The following is a 19,677-nucleotide window of genomic DNA, read 5'->3' on the forward strand; positions in this document are numbered from 1 at the left end:
CTTAAGCAGCAGGCAGATGGTTATACCAGCTGCAGAGGGAAGGATGGATGGCAGGGAGGTCAGAGTGGGTAGCATTAACAACCATGAGCATTGGTTGATTTACTACGTGCTTGACACAGTTCTAAGTGTTTAAATGAAGCACAGGCACCCAATAAAATAGGTACTATTGGCCGGGTGCAGTGGCTCACGCTTGTAATCCCAGCACTTTGGGAGGCCAAGGTGGGTGGATTGCCTGAGGTCAGGAGTTCAAGACCAGCCTGGCCAATATGGTGAAACCCTGTCTCTACTAAAATACAAAAATTAGCCAGGCATGGTGGCTGGCGCCTGTAATCCCAGCTACTCAGGAGGCGTAGGAAGGAGAATCACTTGAACCTGGGAGGCAGAGGTTGCAGTGAGTCGAGATAGTGCCATTGAACTCCAGCCTGGGTGACAGAGTGGGAGTCTGTCTCAAAAAAAAAAAGGTACTATTAAGATCCCCATTTTAAAGATGAAGACATGAAAATACACAGAGAACAAACAAACATGATGCCAACCAAGCTGTCTGGCTGCAAAGCCATACAGGTAACTACACAATACTACATGGTGGGTAGACCAGATGGACAGCTATTTTAGTAATCCAAATTTGAGTGACAGCAGTGGAATTGGAAAGAAGTGGATGGATTTTCAAGCGTGTAGGAGATCAAAAGAAAAGTCAGAACTCAGTTACACTTTGGCCACAGGGATGTGGGGAGATGGTTTTTGGGAGAGTGATGGGGTGGCAGTGAGAGACACTGAGATATAGGGGTCCAGAAGAAAACCAGGGTTGCAGTATCAGGACGGACAGGAGGTCGGGGACAGCATGAGTCCACTGGGACTTGCAGAGATTTGAGATGTCCCGGTGACATATTTCGTAGTGTTGTATTCTTTTAAGGATACCTGGTTTTATCCTCCTACAATATTCTGGCTCTTTCTGTTTGACTACGATCCATCTGGAATAGTCACCTGTTTAATATAATCTGGCTCCTGTGCACACAGGAAAGGAGCCACTGTCTCCCTTAAAGTCCCCTTCCAGAAGCAAGAGTGTCCTCACCCCTCCTCAGCCCAGCACATCCTCATGCGAAATCATCACGGGAAGCAGGACAGTCCCTGCTATGCAAGGAGAGGGCAGTTGAGCATGAGGGCTGGTTAAGAGAAGAGATTTCTGAGCCCGACTCCAAGCCCTACGATTTATGAGTTGTGAGATTATGTCTTTGCCCAATTTATTAATCTGTCTAAACCTCAGTTTTTCTATCTGTAAAATATGGTTCTTGAGAGGCTGCAATGAGATGATATACCTAAGAGAAAGCCCAGAGCCTGGCAGGCAATAGCCAAGCGATGGTAGCAGTTATTATCCCTAGTGGAAATCGCAGCACATGAACACTCTTGGATTGTTGTTTGTTTCACAGCTCGAGTCTCTGGAACTGGAGGAATCCCTTCCAGTTACCTCCTGTTCTTGCTTTTCGGATGCCGGGGGCCTCTCTTGCCAGAACAGCGGTCATGAGCCATGAGGGCAGTTTCTACACATCTTCCTAGACAGGATGGCTTGGCTTATGATCTGGAAGATGTTTTGCCACTGTTCAGCCACAAGAATGGTTGTCATTTGCTCCGTTGCTTGTAAAGGAAGGCTCGTCTATGGCATTTGGTTAGTGAGAGCAGCAGTTTAGAGAATAAGGAAAGAAGTTTGTTTGAAGAGAGTCTCAGAAAGTGAAAGGTAACTGTTTTACACAGATGATGGATGAAGCGACTCCTTTTGCAATAAGCCCTTATCTTTCCTTAAAGCTTGTTCCAAGGGGGAAAGCCTATCACCTGGCCTACTGTGATTCTTGGAGTCTCCTCTGGCAAAAGAGGTGGCAGTTGTGGCTTGCCTCCATTTCGTTTTCTCTGCTGAGACCTCCAGAAAGTCAACCTGCCTCAGAAGGTGCAGGTCCCATGGGTTGTGGCCCCTCACGGGATGGTTACAAGGCAGGCAACTGAGTCACACATTTCGTTGCTTCCCAGGACACTGGAGACTTCTCACCTTGAGGGTGGGAGAGGTCTGACGGTTTGAAGGAAAGAGGGATTCCTACATACTGCAGGTCTTGGTAGGGAAAATGTCTTTGTTTATGAAGCCTTGGCGAGCACAATCATGAGTGATTTGGGGAAGGATTTCCTGGGGAATGGAGACTCTGTGAAACAGACAGGTCTCGCCTCATTTCTCTCTAGTCCCTGGCAGCAGCTGCTCACAGGAAAGAGTGCAGGGTCTTTGCTAAGATTCACTGAGGTTCCAGCACTGCATAGAAACAAGTAGCTAAGTGTCCCAGTAATTGTCACCATCTGTACCTAAGAGAAAGGAAAACCTCACGTGTGACCATCTTTTTTTTTAAGCAATCATTTCTTGAGAGAATAAAGCAGAAAAACCTGAACTTATCCTTTTGCTTGTACTAGGAGAAAGAGAAAACGCAACAAAACACACACACCTGACCCCTAGCTAACCTTTCTCAGGATGGGGATGGGAGGGTCCTGTCTGGAATCTCAGAAGTTGGGGCTTCCTAAGGCACCCCTACACCCCCGTTTCCTGGAATCTGCTAAAAGAAAATGGAAAACTAGCCGAGATATTTGACTGAGGTTTCTTAAGAAAACATATTCTCGGTTTGGGTTGTTTTCTGAGGGGAGGGTTGGAGCGATGTGGTTTAAGTAAGAAAATTGCTCATGAACAGTGATGGAAATAGTGACTCTCTTGACTGTTCCACATGTCTCTGGCTATAGTTACAGGAAGCAAAGTGGAACAGTGTTTGCGAATTACCTGGGGAACACGGGCAGAGTGGACAACTGATCTAAAAGGCTGGAGCCAAGAAAACATCACTGCATCAGTGATCTGGGTAATTCCATGGCTGGAGCATGTGTTTAGTTACTTAAGTGGAAGGTGGGGACGATCTTATTTCGGGAGCCTGGCTAGACTCCAAGATGAAATAAGATAACCTACTTCATCTAATTTGTTGCCCACACTCCCTAGAGACTAACGCATCTCAGGTCTCTCTGACGTCTATCCTAGTGAATCTCAAAAGATTTATTTTCATACTCTTTTAATAAGGTCAGTCAACCAAAATCTAAACTACTTGACTTGACTTTGAAAATGGTTTTAGAATCACAGTTCATAGTATAAGAGCACAAACAGTTTCCATTATCTTTGAATAAATCCAATAAATAATATTCACAAATTCTAAGACACAGACAATTTTAGTTGTTTGACCAACAGAATCAGTTTTTCTCCGGTGTATCTTTGTGGTTAGCCTTTATGATGTCACGTTTCTGCTACCAACTATCTATTCAGGGAAAGATAAACAGAGGGCAAACAATATTTGTTTATACCTTTTGGGCTAAAGACACAAAAATTCTGCTTAATTGCCTTCATCAATCAGTAGAAGATCCTAAATTCCTGGGGATCATGGAGCTCAAATGGTTAGGGTGGGCCATGTGTACACAGTCATTCATTCAATAATTCATTCACTCTCTCAGCCAGTCAATAAGTGTTGCACATCTGCAAAGTGCCCGGCACTGGGCTAGGCTCTGGGCATTTCAAGATGAATAAGACCCCACTTCTGAATGACGCAAAGAGCTTTCCAGCTACACAGTGGCATTTGTAATGTCACAGGCAGTCCAAGGAGGGAGTGGTTACTTCACAGAAGTCACTAGAGAAAAAGAGTATTTATGCAGGGCCTACAAGGATGGGAAAGATTTTGGCAGGGAGAAGCAGAGGGCTAAGGAGCTCTAGAAAGATGAGTTTCCAAGTATAAGCAAACTGAGGAAGCTGGAAATGAGGAAAATGGGGTGGTCAGCATGGCTGAAGCTTGGGAAATGCGGAGCGGAGTGGTGGCAAGTAAGCCACTGACAAATTGCCGAGTTTCTTCAGAAGTAACGAGTGGGGCTTTTCTCTGTAGTAGCTGGGAACCAAAGAAAATGTGTGCGTGGAGGCAGAGGCAGTCAGGGATCTGATCGGAAAGTTCAGTGTGCTGTCAGGTGAGGAATGCATTACACAGGTGGGTTGGAAATACTGGGATAGGAGGCAAGAGATACAGACTTGAGCAAATGCCTGAGAGGGAAGCAGTAGGTTGCTGAGCAGGGCATTGCCGAGGGCAAGAGGAGAAGGAGGTGGCTGTGCAGAGGGGGCAGGCCACCCATCTGGACTCTGTCCTGGCCCCACTCTTGGCAGCTATGGGACCAGGTTTAAGTGGCCTCCAGTTCCTCTGGAGAGAGAGAAGGACTGGGTACAGCAGCCCCTCCCCCAAGCCTATTGAGACATCTGTAGGGAAGAGAGTTCAGCTCACTGGGAAGGAGAAGCCTTCAAGGCTGGAGAGCGCTGTGGTGATGTGGTTATCTAACTTTGCTGTGGGTCAGAATTGCCTGGGCAGCATAGCAAGCGGTCCCATCCCTGGAAACTCAGACTGGGCTGCCTTTGTAGCTGCACCACACTTTGGAAAACCCTAATCTCACATCTGGGGTGTTTTCTGATTCTCTGTTTGGAGGATTCTGAAGCTCAGAGGGGCTGGGTGGGTCCAGCCTGAAAGGGGCACATCCCATCACCTCTCTCTCCTCCACCATTCACAGGGACGCCCAACACGATGCCCTCCGTGTCTTCATCTCTCCCTCTCCACCTCCTCAGTCCCTTTCCCTGGACTTCATGGGAGCCTGTTGAGCTCAAAAGATCCCCAAGAGCCAAGATGCAAGCCTGCAGATTTCAGGACAGCTGGTCCTGGCGCTGCTGGCTGCTCGCAAGGGCCGGGCCTCCTCATTGCCGTCACCAGCCCCCGTTGGGCCTCATCAGAGCAAGACCAGGCTCGGCTGATGCTCGGCGCTGTATTCCTTGACGCCTCCATGAGGCTTGCTGCCCAGCATGTCCCAGGCTTGCTGGAAATGCTGAAGCTCAGGCTCACCTCAGACCCACGACTCAGAGTCTGTATCTTTTCCAGATCCTGGAGTGATCGCATGTGCACGTATAAATCGGAGAAGCTTTGGCTTCCATAGCCTCTGCTGGCTGTAACTAATCCTTCCTCACCCCATACTGAGGGAAAAGAAAGAAGGGAAGGGAGGGAAAGGAAGGGAAGAGAAAGGAGAAGGAAGGACAGGGGGAGAGAGAGAGAGAGAAAGGGAAGGAAGGAAGGCAGGAAAGGAAAGAAGGAAGGAAGGAAGGGAGGAAGGGAGGGAAGGAGAAAGAGAAAGGAAGGAAGAACAGGAGGTTAGGAGAGAGGAATGAAAGAAAGAGAATGGGAGAGGGACAGAGGGAGGGAGAGAGAATGATTCTGTGAGTCTCTTAACTCTGGTCCTCCTGTTACACATCTTTTCTTCTACTTTTCCTTTGTTTCACACTTAAGCTTTGAAGATGTAAAGTAGGACCAGAGGGTGAGAAATTCAAGAACCTTGAAATAAAAGACCTTTCTGTTTGCTTTTCATTTCCTAAAAAGGAAGTCCTCACTGACTGTTCCTGTAAGGGATATTAAGCTGTGTGGATTGTGAGTGATTCGTCACACAGCAATTTGGAGCAGGAAGCACACGAAACCCTAGAGCTAGCCTGCACGCAACTAATTGAAGCCCTCAATTAATCGGATTGGCTTCCACCTTCAGGAGAAAAGCAAATACTAAGAAAACAAATTAGCACCTGGAATTTAACAACTTCCCTTTTTTGGTGTGGGGGCGCATTATATTCAGAGTACATGATAACTGATGGCTCGTCTCATAGGCACAGACATCTTTACAATCCTCTAAGGCAGAGTGGTGTGGTGGAAACGGAGTTGGCAGAGGCATCAGATCTGCCCGGGTTTCCATCCCAGCTCCAGCATGCATGGGCCATGTCGCTTGGCAAGCAGTCTCACCACTCAGAGCCTTGATTTCAGGATTAAAAAAATAATAACCTATTCAACAGAATCATGGTCGAGAAGATTAGGGGTTTGTGCAACTCCTCACCTGGTGGATACTCAACCGGAATGAGTTCTCTTTCTCAGTTCCTGCCTACAGATCTATAGACACTTAGCTTTAAAAGCTTTGATTATGGCCAGTTGCCTGGTCAACCTAATACCAGCAGAGGAGTGTATTTTCCCTACTATGGTGGAACAGAGGTAAAGGTTTTCCAAGTTTGAAGCAATCATACAAACAAAATAGGAGCCCAAAGACTTCTGCGGAGCTTTGGAATGAGAGATGCCCATTCTGGTTTCAGAAACGCCAGCGCCATCTCTTGGAGGAGCATGAAATTGTTTCCTTGGGCTGAAGAAGCATCCATGGGGCCCCAGGTAGGTTCAGCTGGTCCTCTCCTTCTTTCAACTGTAGTTTCAGACTGGAACCCCAGGGCTTCTTCCAAGGGAAACATTCTTACTTATTTCCTTATAAAGGTCCTGCATACCTTTGTTTGTCTCTCTTCCAATCAAACCATTCTTTCTCTCTAATTTCATCGGGTCCAGTATTTCCAAATTTCAGTCCCAGTTTGTAAATCTACAACTCAAGCCAAACCTTCAAAGACTGAATTTTCTAAGTGGTTAGTTATCCTTCTAACACAGAGGGTCTTCCTTCTAACACCCCAGCAGAGGCCGGGTAGCCTAGCACTCAAGATCCTGGACTCTGAAGCTAGACCACTGTGTTTAGCATCCCCTCAGCCTTCCAACTGTGTGACCTTGGAAAGTTACTTGACCTCTCTGTGCCTCAGTTTCCCCACCCACAAAATGAGGCTGACAGCAGACACCACCTAGAATGGTTGTTGCAGCATTACAGGAGTTCACACCTGCAGCACTCGGTGCAGGCCTGTGACAGATCATGAGCAAGTGTTTGCCATCATCTTGGTTTTCAGTGGCTGTTCCCTTACACACCACTTACGACGCTGGGCTAGGATTTCACTTGACTTGTCCAGGTTACCCACCAGGCGGTGTTTCTGTAGCATGGGCAGTAAAGGCAGCATAAATCTAGGCCACACTCACAAATGCACATTGTTAGCACACAAACCCCGTGATTCAGATGCAGGTGGTCTGGGGGCCTGATTTTTAGAGCTGCTGCACTCAGTTTTGTGCTCCTAGGGGGCAGGGACTAGCTCCATCCATCTCAGACCCCAGCCTGCATGCAGCAAGCACCCGCCCCCTTGAAAGTGCTCAGCTCAAGTTGCTTTCCTTCTCCATCTTCTTTAATAAATGATCTTGGAGTGAACAAATGGGAGGCTGACAGTATTACACTAAAATAACAGGAGTTTCTGGTCACCTGAGAAGCACAATGGTCTCTCATCTTCTCCTTACTCCATTAGGAGTTCATATGCCTGCATTTTCCTCATTAAATCTGAGGTGCTTTTCTGAACTCTATCTGAGAAGGAGCTGAAGTAATCAATGAGTGTCTCACACACAAACACATGGAAACAGGTTCTTAGTGAGAGCGGTGGGGACTCTGACTCCAAATTTAATGATTTTTCACTAAAAAGGAATGACGCTTCCCTTCACTAGAAAGCAATGATGTCTTCGGTGGTTGCATCAATGACCAAACATGTATAATAAACTGCTTCTTTGAACTTGAGGACATCTGATTAAGAGATAGAAAGCAAAACAAGCCTTCACAGATGGTAATAGTGCTGGGACACATCACCTTTTGTGAATAACTGAAGAGCATATATTAATAACAGAAATCACATTGGTGTGCCCTTACTGAGGATCGACAAAGGAGAACACGTCTATGTTTTGTGGAAACACGACTGAAGCCTTCATCCAATGACGTTGGCCGGCCCCGCTCTCCTCGTGCCATCAAGCACTCTACGCTGACTCAGTAGAGCAGCACAGCCCTGTGTGTGGAGAGATTCCCATGCACCATGGGAAGAGGGACCAAGCCTGGGCCCTGGAGGGCGCAGCCGGTGCAGTCTGCAGGAGGCTCTGTGTTTCAATAACTGTGGTGTCCCCACACCCCAAGGGCCATCTGTAGATCTGCTGCTCCAAAGTCTCTCACAGTGGCTCTTCTTTGGAGGTCACTCTCCAGTTAAGTGGGGGACCAACTGCAAACTTCTCCCATCAATATGAACTGCAATATGATATTGCAGCAAACAAAACACACACACACACACACACTCTCCCAGAAGCATTTAACAGGAGAAGTGTGTACCTACACATTTAGTCCCAAGATCTCTTTCCAGGCCCTGTCCAGGTTCGTGGTGGAAGCCTGTCCTCTGCACACTGGCTTCCCCAAATCTTCCCATATTCCAGAGCAGGGGAATCCTTTCTCCATCTTTTGGCTCAGATCTACTGCGGAGTGTGGGAGAAATATTAAAAGTAATGATCCTTGATGGTTAAAGCTGCCTTATCAAGTTCCTGCCCCTGGGTTTAAATAAAGTCTCTTTTTCTGCCAGCTTTAGATAAGGATGGAGGGTGAGAGAAACAGACAGAGACAGAAAGAGAGAGAGAAGAAGGGAGAGAGGCAGAGAAGCAAGGACTCTATAGGGAAAGAAAGAGCTTGGACATTAATTCATTTTATGAATATTTGTTCTACTCTTCTTAAGAACAAGGTTTGTCCCAGGTGCCTTGGGGGCAAGAGAGAATTTAAGGGGTGGCAAGGGGCCACTGTCCCGCATCTTGGGGACGTTGTAGGCAGGCAGGTAGAGATGTGCTAAGGTTCCCGGGTCCTGGAGATGCCAGGCAAGTTGGAAAATGCAGAAGAGGAGGCTGGGGTGGACAGGGGTCATTTTGGCTGAAGCTGGTTATGAGAGGCTTAGAAGGTGAAAGTGTCTGCTGTGCTGGGCCCTGAAATGTAGGTCTTCTTGGCCACAGTGGGAAAGGGGAGCCCTAGAGGTCCTTGAACAGTCTGAGTGACAACACCTGGGCTGCCCAGCCCCAAAGGCCAAAACCAAGACACGTCTTTGTCCCAGAGGTTGGGCTTGGTGGCTGCAGCTGTGGATGCTGACCCTTTCATGGGCATGGGGACAGGTGAAAAGCAGGAGCGAGGCAGGCAGGAGTGGGTGCCAGCACCAGCCCACAGCCATGAGGCCTGTGCCAGGCCAGCCTGTGGGGACACTGGGTCCCCGAGAGAGACATGGAAGCTCCCGCCAGCAGGAGACTTGAAGGTGGTCAGTTCTGAAGTCCTCTCCTCCTTAGGCCTGGACCTGGGGACACAGGCTCCAGCCAGCAGCAGGAGCCCATGAAACTCATTTGTCCCAATCTTCTTCCCAAGTCTCAACAGCTTTCGGGGGGTTCTGTGACAGATGCCCCACTTCCAGCTCCACAGCCAGCCCTACGCTAACTCTGACAGATGAAAGGCCTCAGAATCCCCTTCTTCAATTGTACTGCACCCAACTTGTGGAAAGCAAAACAATATTAAAAATACTTTTTAAGAAACTCTAGAATATATTGTCATCAAAGTGATCACGGTTCTGCTTATTTTTGGTCATCGCAACCAATGTACTGAGCCCCCTTTGCCCAGACCCTAGCAGGTCCTGAGTCTCAGCGTCCACAAAACGAGGCTATGGCCCTTGGGGAGTTCCGTGCGGTGCCACAATTGGCCTCTGAGTTACTCTAGAGTGATAAACGCAGCCTTGGCAGTAAAATACCAGAGAGGTAATGAGTGCGGACTCCGTGCTCCCTCCGCAGGGGCAGGTGCGTGAGGCTCTAGCGCCACCTCGTGGGCCGTGGGATTCGTGCCCATCTCCTCCTGGGCGGGAGTTCCTCTGGAGCCAGGAACTCTTTGGGCTCAGGGTGTCTTTTTAGAAAAGCTTCTGACGTTGGTTCTTCTTTAGTGGACCTTCTCCGGTAAAACGGGGTTAACAACTCCAAACTTTTCCCCACCTAAAGGGATTGAAAGGCTGTTTCAAAGGAATTAGAGCTCTGAGACTGCAACCCACAAAACACACAATAGCATATACACAGAGATGCACATAGAAACATAGACACACAGGGACACACACCAGAGATACACACACACACACACACGGACAGGCAGACACAGGGCCACAAACACATACACAGAGATACACACAGAAACATATACACACAGGGACACACACCAGAGATACATACACAGACACACACGGACAGGCAGACACAGGGCCACAAACACATACACAGAGATGCACATAGAAACATTTACACACAGGGACTCACACCAGAGATACACACACACACGGACAGGCAGACACATGGTCACACACACACACACATACATACAGTGATATTCAACAAGGGAAGGGTGCACCCACAGGCTCAGTCTTGAGACCTCTCTCCAGGCTCCTGGGTGGGTTGGGGAAGCTGAGCCTCCCTGCCTGCTCATAGCACACAGCCTCCACAAATCTTGCTCTATTCCAGAGTGAGAAAGGAACGTTAAAACTGATGATCCCTGATGGCCAAGGCTGCCTTATCAAGATCCTGTTCCCGATTCAATAAGAAAAGATGCCTCTTGTGCCAGCAGCAGATAAGGCTGCAGCCCTGGGCGTTCCCAGGAGAGCGAACAATGGAAGCCCCCAGGATGCCTCTATATGAGGTAGGATGGTTACTTGCCCAGTCCCTGCCTGCCAGGCCCTTATCTGGGAGGCGCTGGTTCGGGTTGCACCCTCCTGTGTTCCTAGCGGGGGCTGCTGCACACCAGGCTTCTGAGGCCTTCCTGGTGGGGGTTGGTGGAATGGCGGCGGGGGGAGGGTTTTGACGGTGCATCCTGAAGTGCTCCCTGCACCTTTCCCAGAAAAAGAAAAGGATGCCATGAAAACACTTCACCCTAGACATGGTTTACCCTCGGGAAAGCTGATGTGAAAGAAGTTCCAGGGGGCCAGGGATAGAAAAGGATTTAGAAAGATGAAGGCAACAGACAAACGACACTTACAAAGTGCCCAAAGTCTGCAAGTCCTGATAGTCACAGGGAAGGACATCAGCTGGCGGGAAACCTCACCTTTTAGGCCTGCATGTCAGTCTTGCACTGCTGAGCTGTGTGACCCTAGGCAGGCTACTTAAACCCTCTGTGCCCTGGCATCTCCATCTACAGAATAAAGCTTCTAACAGCATAGGCCTCACACACCTGTGTGGAGACCCCATAAGTCGACAACATGTGTTTACCCGAGGAAATAAATATGGGTGCCCCTTTAGGCCTGTCCCACAGAGTTATACAGCTGAAAGACCTCAGAGTAGGTCCACACCCCTTACCAAGTAATGCAGGCCTTGATTAATTGCCACTTGAAGGGAGGTGGGGAGAAAGCACCCTGTCACATCACAGCTAAATTTACTAAAAAAGAAACTCTTTGCCCACTTATCTTTCGAAAGTGCCTCACAGCAGAGACAGCCCCAACCCCTTCCTCTCTCTCCAGCCTCACCTCTCCTCCTAAAATTCAGTTCCTCCTCACACTCTCAGTGCCTGGCCCCGGCCATGCATTAGATGCCCTGAAGAGCTTTTGAAAAGGACCAATCCCTGGGCCCTATCTCAGGTGTGTCTGAGCATCTGTAGATTTTAGAAGCTCTGAGGAGGATTTACATGCATTTAGGGTGGAAATCACTTGTAAGTAAATTTTTTTAACTGTTCCCTGTTAAAAAATATGAACCAATGGACCAATGGACCACTTATGGCTTCTGCTAATTCTCTTACATATGCCCATGGTACCTTGTTGCAGTATCATTTGTATAATAAAAAGATTGGAGCCAACCAGAAAGTCCATCAATGGGGGGAAAATTAAATAAAATGTAGTTCATTCAGCAATGGAATACTATGCAGCTCTGAAAAATGAATCAGGAAGCTTTCTATGAACAGATGTGGAAAGTCTCCAATGTATAGCATTAAGTGGAAAAAGCAAGACATAATGGTAGTGTGCACGTTCTATATTACAAAAAATGTGAATAAAGGCAGTTTATATTCATGTTTTCTTGGATATACATTTAAAAAACTCTAAAAAGATACACAAAGAATGGTCTAGTAGTCATTATAGGGGGTCTGGGAAGGCAAGAGATAATATATCATATTTTCAAATTTTTGAATTATGAGAACATGTCATTCATTCAAAAATTGAATGTAAAAAGGGTTAAGAAAGAGAATAAAGCAAGGGCCGGGACACATCTCCACTGTCTTCCCATGGCCCTCTCAGAAGTGGATCACACCTGGTGCTAGGCAGGGGGACAGAAATTGCTGTGGCCTGAGCAGAGCCTGGGTCCAGCCAGCATCTACACAGCCCACGTCCTCCCAGGGGAATTTCTCTGTGCTCTGTTTTGAGGGGATGGTCCTGGTACTGGAGTAGCAGAGCCAGGTCCCTGCTTCTTGCATAACCCTGAGGCTGCCCTGTTTGCTCTTCTTGTGTGGAGGGCATTGGCAGAGGCCTCTGGCCTGTAGAACCTTTGTGAGCTGAGCCACAACTCACTTCGAGCTGTTCTCTGCCCTGGCTTTGCTACCCTGAGGTCTCCAGTGCCATCCACACCTTCCGTCTGCCACTGCCAACAGCCACAGGTGATGGATGGGGACCATAATGTGAGAGGAGAATTGTGTACTGGAAATCAGCATGAAGGGATATCCAAAGACCTGGAGAAACCCAAATCACATGGGGATGGGAGAGTGAAGACCCAAGGGAGGGATGTGCGGCAAGACCTGCTCTGAGCTCTGAGGGTGCAGATGTAATCAAGACTGAGTGCTGCCCCACCAGACCTGTAGACGAACTCTCCTTCTGGTGAGGCAGTGAACCTGCAAGCACGGGAAGGTGGTGGTGGGTTGGGTGCCATGGAGGAAATGAGGAAGCAGGAGATACACTGGGGGCCAGGTGGGGTTGCAGGTCTCAGCAGGGTGGGGCTGAGGTGGTGATGGGTGAGGGAGTGAGCTGTGGAGTATCCAGACAGGGAAAGCAGCAAGTGCAAAGGTGCTGGGACAGGAGTGGATTTTGCGGGTCTGCAGGGCAGTCGGTGTACTGGGAGTGGAGTGGATGAGGTAGGACATGGAGGCTACAGAGTCTCAGAACCCGTCAGAGGCTGGTGTGCAGTCAGGTTCTGCAGGGCATTGTTGGCCACTAGGAGGATTACAACTTTTTCTCTTACCCCAAGTGGACTTGAAACCATTGGAGGGTCTGAGGGAAGAGTGATATGGTCAGATGAAGTTTTTAAATCATGTATTTAATTATTCTAGTTGATGTGTAGAGAATGGAATTGGTGAGGGAGGAGAGAGTAGAAGTAGGGGGACAAGTTAGGACTGATGGGAGATTGAGTTGCTCCTTGGCCGTCACAGGATTCTGCATCCTCTGCCTTTACCATGGGCCTTGCCTGCCTCTCCCAGGGACAGAGTGTACCCCTCCAACCTTATTGACTGCGCATTTGGCCATGTGACTTGCTTTGCCTCGAGGGACATGAGCAAAGGCCACATCTGAGCAGAAGTTTTGAGGGCCATTGCCTGGTTGGCTCTTGCTTTTTTCCCTCTGCTCTGAGAAGAGGCATTTCCAACAGGGGGTACCCTCCAGTCCAGGTCCTAGAATGGGAAAGCCTATGGAGCAGGGCTGCCACCGTGGCACACAGCCATGACAGAGGTGGGAGTGAGAATGAGATGGCTGTCGTCGTAAGCCTTGGAGATGTGGAGAGTGCTGACCGACACAGGGGCCCTTGGGGTACCAGACTACAGAGGCACTGCTGGAACGGTGTGAGGTGAGTTGACTTTGTAATGTTTTCTGAACAGCAGAGCTACCCAAATTGGAGTTTGATGTATGGCATTAGGGAGAGTTTGATTTGGTTTAGGGATATGTTAAGTTCGAGATACTCATTAGACATCTAGGTAGAGGCTGGAGTTCCTGGAAAATGTCAACTACAGGTACAACTTGGAGTCATCGTCTCACATTTGCAAACTCAATATATGCAAATGGTATGAAAAGTCATGAGGCTATACGTGATCAACCAGAGAGAGGGTGTAGAAAGAGGTGTCTTCTTAGGACCTGGGGCACTCCAGCATGTGCAGAATGGAGATCTCAAAGGGCGAGTGAGCACTGACCTGGTGGTGGCATAGGCAGGTGCATGTCAGGGAGAGAGAACCTGTGTGCAAATACAAGGAAGGTGAGTGACATGGTTTGGCTGTGTCCCCACCAAAATCTCATCTTGAATTGTAGCTCCCATAATTCCCACATGTTGTGGGAGAGGGCAGGTGGGACATACTTGAATCATGGGGGCAGTTCTCGTGGTGGTGAATAAGTCTCGCGAGATCTACTGGTTTTATAAGGGGAAACTCCTTTTGCTTGGCTCTCGTTCTGTCTTTGCTGGCTGCCAGGTAAGATGTGCCTTTTGCCTTCCATCATAATTGTGAAGCCTCCCCAGCCACTTGGAACTGTGAATCCATTAAACCTCTTTTCCTTTTATAAATTACCCAGTCTTGGGTGTCTTTATCAGCAGCATGAAAACGGACTAATACAGTGAGAGAGCATGACACCTTCAAGAAGGGGGCAGAGGACAAACTCTCCAGCCTGCCTGGGCTCATGCCCAGCACTGTGGCCCTTCTCTATCCAGGAGCCTTCCCTGTCATTATGCACACCCTCAGTCACTGTCCTCTGCTTGGCAGCACCTCTCTGGACTCACGGTTTGTGGACCAGTTTGTTCTCATTAATCCCACGACTTAAATTTCTAGCACCCATGACACACAACCTTTCCCTCTCCTAACTCAACCCCTTTGTCACTTTCCCCCACTTCTGACGTAAAGGTAACCCATCTTCCCCAATTACAATTTCTTGTGGCCCAGCCTTGCCCCAGTACCAATTTTTAGGAGATGATTTTTGTCACCATAGGTTTTATTTTACTGTGAAAGGCATAAGATTTGTTTGGGGCTCTTCTCTCTCTATGTCCACCTTCCCTGCCCTCAAGTTCACCATGCTCCCCCAGCATGATCTCCAGTCTTCCCTAATGGCTGTTGGCTCCACTTCCCTCCAGCACTCTAAGAGTTATCAGCCTGCAGAATTATGAGCTGCTCAGGTCACCCTACAGCAAGTCACTCCTCCCACCCAGATCATTCTCCCTCAACCCATCAGAGCAATCCCTGGAAAACAGGAAGGTGGCCCTTCACTCCCTCCCCTGCCACACTCCCGCCTGGTAATTCCACCATGGCTGCTTTCAGCCTCACAGGGACCTCAAGTCCCTGGATACTTCCATCCATGCCATGATGTCTGGAACTCTCAAGAAATATTTTGGACAGTTTATCTGCCTGCTCTTGGATTTATTGAGCAGGGAAGAAACTCTGTAAGTTCACATATCTCTACTCTATCCCTGACAATTTTTTCTGGGACTGGAGAGGAACCAGAAAGGGAATGGAGTTGGGGATTGAGGAAAGAGGGGAGAAACAAGAGAAGGGAATACCTTGGGCAGCTGGGCAAGAAGAAACAAAGCCACACCATCCAGAGACAGGGATTTTGGAATAACTGCAAAGTCACAAAAGTATTGGGAAGATGACTTAATGCCCTTGAATTCAAGTCCTCAGACATACACAGATATTGTGGTGATCATCATAGCAAAGCTAGCCTTCCCAGGAAAGAGAATGCCAGAGGTTTTCCTCAGAGGAGGCATAGAATTAGCCTAGCCAGTGACCAGTTAGCCAGTGACCAGTTAAAGGACAAGTGTTGACTTTGACTTTACCCCAGTCCACTCACGCTGCCACCCCCATGCCCTACAGACCCAGCCATGTCCTTGTGTAAAGCACACCAGGAGACACCAAAGGTATCACAGAGCAGGTCCAAGTGGGACATGGGTTCTGAAACCTTAATGCAAACCAATGGCATGCTGGTATCTGATCCCACCATGACCTTCATCTCGAGAAAGGTGCCACGAGGCTGTTTCTTGAAAGGAAGTTTTGTTGACCTGGTTCCTATACTGAATATGACCACTCACTACCTGGATTTCTTTAGCCATTTGGAATAGGAGCAAGACCACAAGCGCTCATTACCTTCCTGCATGAAATTACATCTCCTGGGAGGAAGAGAGCCATAAACATCAAGGTGGGTGTCACCTGGTCTTAATTTCTTGGCTTCATTAGAAAAATCTGAGAACTTGGAATGACATACCCACAGAGAACATTTGGGTTTACATAAACTAGTATATCCTTCATGTATAAATACATAGTTTAATGTAAAAGAATTGTGGGCCCAAACCAACAGTTTTAGGGTATTTAATTAGGATATTATTCAATAAGCACAAACGGCTCTTCCTAGGTCGGTATTTGATTCACCACTGAAAAATTTGAAACTAGGAAGCAAATCTCTAGAGAAGTTGCATTTATTATTTTGGAGTAATGGTAAACTTTGGGGATTTGATGAAAACGATGGGCCATCTCATCATAAAAATTCACACATACAAACATTTTTTTCTATGCAATTTAGAGGGTACCCAGCCCTAGCTAAGAATCTCTGATCTATTGATTAAAATTCTAAAATAACTAAAATAATATGCATTTATTTATTTATTTATTTATTTTGAGATGGAGTCTTGCTCTGTTGCACAGGCTGGAGTGCAATGGCACGATCTTGGCTCACTGCAGCCTCTGCATCTTGGGTTCAAGTGATTCTCATGGCTCAGCCTCCCGTGTAGCTGGGATTACAAGCACGTGCCAACACGCCCAGCTAATTTTTGTATTTTTAGTAGAGACAGGGTTTCACCATATTGGCCAGGCTGGTCTTGAACTCCTGGCCTCAAGTGATCCACCCACTTCGGCCTCCCAAAGTTCTGGGATTACAGGCATGAGCCACCATACCCGGCCCCAATATGCATTTTCTTAGTGCCTGAAAGCTACGATGACATGGGCATGAAATGGGCCCAGTGCAGACTACATGTGTGAGAAGAGACTTCCTTCAGGCCAGCACGACACTTCTTCCCTATGGTCACAAGTGCCTTTTTCCTCTTTGTGTAACAACTCCTCTCTAACCATCTGCAGTTTGCATGTGTTGAACCAAACCCTAACTCCAAAAACTTAGGTCTGGTCAGTTGAAACCTCCCATTTATTTGGCTACAGTGATGGGTTTGGGGATGGATATGTGACCAAAGTCAGTGAGTGAGACTCAATTCCAGGACTCTCTTGAGACTACTGGGAAAAACAATGCTATTTCTGTTGGAGTGGTTGAGAGGCCATGATGTAAGCCAGGGATTCTCAACCAGTGGTGATTTCACCTCCCATGGGACATTTGGGAACACCTGGAGACATTTTTGGTTGTCACTTCTAGGGATGTGCTACTGACATGTATTGGGTAGAAACCAGGGATGCAGTTGAACCTCCTACAAATGCATGGGACAACCATCCCCAACAAAGAATTATTCTGCCACAAATGCCAATAATGCAGAGGTTGAGAAACGCTTCTGTAAGCTTAGAGTTTGAGCAACTATTTTGGTGTTGCATAAAATGAGCCTGCCCAAGACTGAGGCCAACTGAAAGGAGATAAAGCTGAGAGATGGAGGAAGGGCAAGTCATGAAGATGTCCTTTGAGATCTGGGATGCATCTCTGTCTGAAGTTGAGCCCTGGACTTTACAAAACTGTATCATTTACAAGTAATTGCTTCCTGATTCAGCCTTCTGTTGATTCAACAACACATGTTCGTTAGGTGGCTGCCAGGTGCCAGGACTCTTACTTTCATTGAGTTATACCAGCAACGATGTTAATGAGAAACAAATAACACAGATAAATAAAGAAAATAGAACTGGGAATGGCGGATTGCATACAGAGGCTAATTCAGATGAGGAGGAAACTGGAAATCAACAACAGAACATCCTCCGTGTGCATATATTGTGGTCTATGATGTATGAAAATGTAAAGTACATGATATTTGGTGCTCCTGAAAGAGTGTGGCTGCAGTCACAGTCATCAAATCCTTGCAGTGTCTTCACAAAATCTCAAGTTCAGAACCCCTCTAGGATTGCTATGTAGGTACTAGTATAGAAGAGAGCATTTCTGATCTGTAAAGAGAAAACATGCAGGATTCTGCCTTCAGATGGCATTTTATTTCCTGGCTGGGGGCATGAGACAGACTTTTGGTATTGAAGGACTTTGACTCCTAGATGCTGGCAAGGCTGTGGAGAAATAGAAACGCTTTTACACTGTTGCTGGGAATGTAAGTTAATTCAACCACTGTGGAAGGCAGTGTGGCAATTTCTCAAGGATCTAGAGCCAGAAATACCATTTGACCAAGCAGTCCCATTACTGGATATATACCCAAAAGATTATAAATCATTCTGTTATAAAGATGCATGCACACATATGTTTATTGCCACACTATTTATAATAGTAAAGACTTGGAACCAACGCAAATACCCATCAATAATAGACTGGATAAAGAAAATGTGGCACATATACACCATGGAATACTATGCAGCCATAAAAAGGAATGAGTTCATGTCCTTTGCAGGGACATGGGTGAAGATGGAAGCCATCATTCTCAGCAAACTAACACAGGAACAGAAAACCAAACACTGCATGTTCTCACTCATAAGTGACAATTGAACAATGAGAACACATGGACACATGGAGGGGAACATCATACACCAGGGCCTGTCGGGAGGTGGGGGGCAATGGGAGGGAGAGCATTAGGACAAATACCTAATGCATGCAAGGCTTAAAACCTAGATGACGGGTTGATAGGTGCAGCAAAGCACCATGGCACATGTATACCTAGGTAACAAACCTGCACGTTCTGCACACGTATCTCAGAACTTAAAGTAAAATTTAAAAAAATTAAAAAATAAAATAAAATAAAAATAAAACGATTTTGACACCACGAAATTGCTGAGTCCTGAAAGAGAACAAATGGTTCTGTGCAGACCAGGCACTACAGAGAGGTGCAGAGCTGAGGGGCAAATGAAGGCTCACATGGAGCCCAAGCTCCCATCACCCAGTCTTGCACTTGCCTTGAGTGTGTGTAACCCCAGGGAGGGGCACATTGTTATGAATTATTTGCCCAGAGGGTTTGTCTGCCCTGAGCAAGTGCCTTTACTTATTTACACAAAGGGGTCCTCTGTGCTGGGTGGTAGCCCCACTGGTGGAAGCTGTAGTGTGCCCCAATCTCTCTTCTCATGCCTTCTCCATAGTCACAGAGCAATGACAGCATTCTTCTGGCCCCTTGCTGTCAGATGCAGGCACTGCCTACCATCTGATCAATGGGGAGTAATCACACATGCCATGCAGCAGCTTATAGGGACTTCCCTAAGGGACATCTGTCACATGCTTTTTGTCCCTGTTCTTTATCCTTTCCTCATTAGTGCTAGCTGGACTGCAGATGTTATTCAACCAAAGACACATGCCCTGATGAAACGCACACGGGGCCTGCTGGGGAAGCACTTGTTGGAGAAAACTCCAGGAGTCAGGAGCAGAAGTGAGCATGTGGATCACCTGTTGGACATAATGGTTCTGCAGCAGTGCACAGAGGGCTTACAGGGCCTGGCATCTGACTGTGGGAGAGGGACTTAACCCTTAGGAGGGTTTTAAACTTATGTCTCCTAGAAAGACTAGGAGTTTGGATCCAACAGCAGTAAGAGGCAGCGGGACCTGTCTCTGGTTTAATTCCATCAGCTCAGATTCATGGCTGAGGAACACTCATTCCATCCCTTGGTGAACCAGGGTTTGAAGTCCAAACCTTGCAGTCTCAGTTTCCATGACATGGCAGATGGGACCTGATTTGCCACCTCGAGCACTCAGCTGTACCAACTCAGACACCAACTTGTGGGAAATCAGTCTTGAAAAAGACTTGTAGCCTGTGTTGGTCAGTTGTTCCAACACAA

The 19,677-nt window shown here is 47.4% G+C and overlaps 1 long non-coding RNA gene across 1 annotated transcript; it reads left to right on the top strand.

Annotated features, from left to right (window-relative positions):
• Positions 1-5,515: 5,515 nt before the first annotated feature.
• LOC107985513 (uncharacterized) lies at positions 5,516-9,343 on the top strand. The gene is made up of 2 exons (XR_001755040.2): positions 5,516-6,278; positions 7,467-9,343. It is a non-coding gene; the product is annotated as an uncharacterized LOC107985513 (long non-coding RNA).

The sequence above is a fragment of the Homo sapiens genome, chromosome 21 (genome assembly GCF_000001405.40).
Source record: "Homo sapiens chromosome 21, GRCh38.p14 Primary Assembly".
Lineage (NCBI taxonomy): Eukaryota > Metazoa > Chordata > Mammalia > Primates > Hominidae > Homo > Homo sapiens.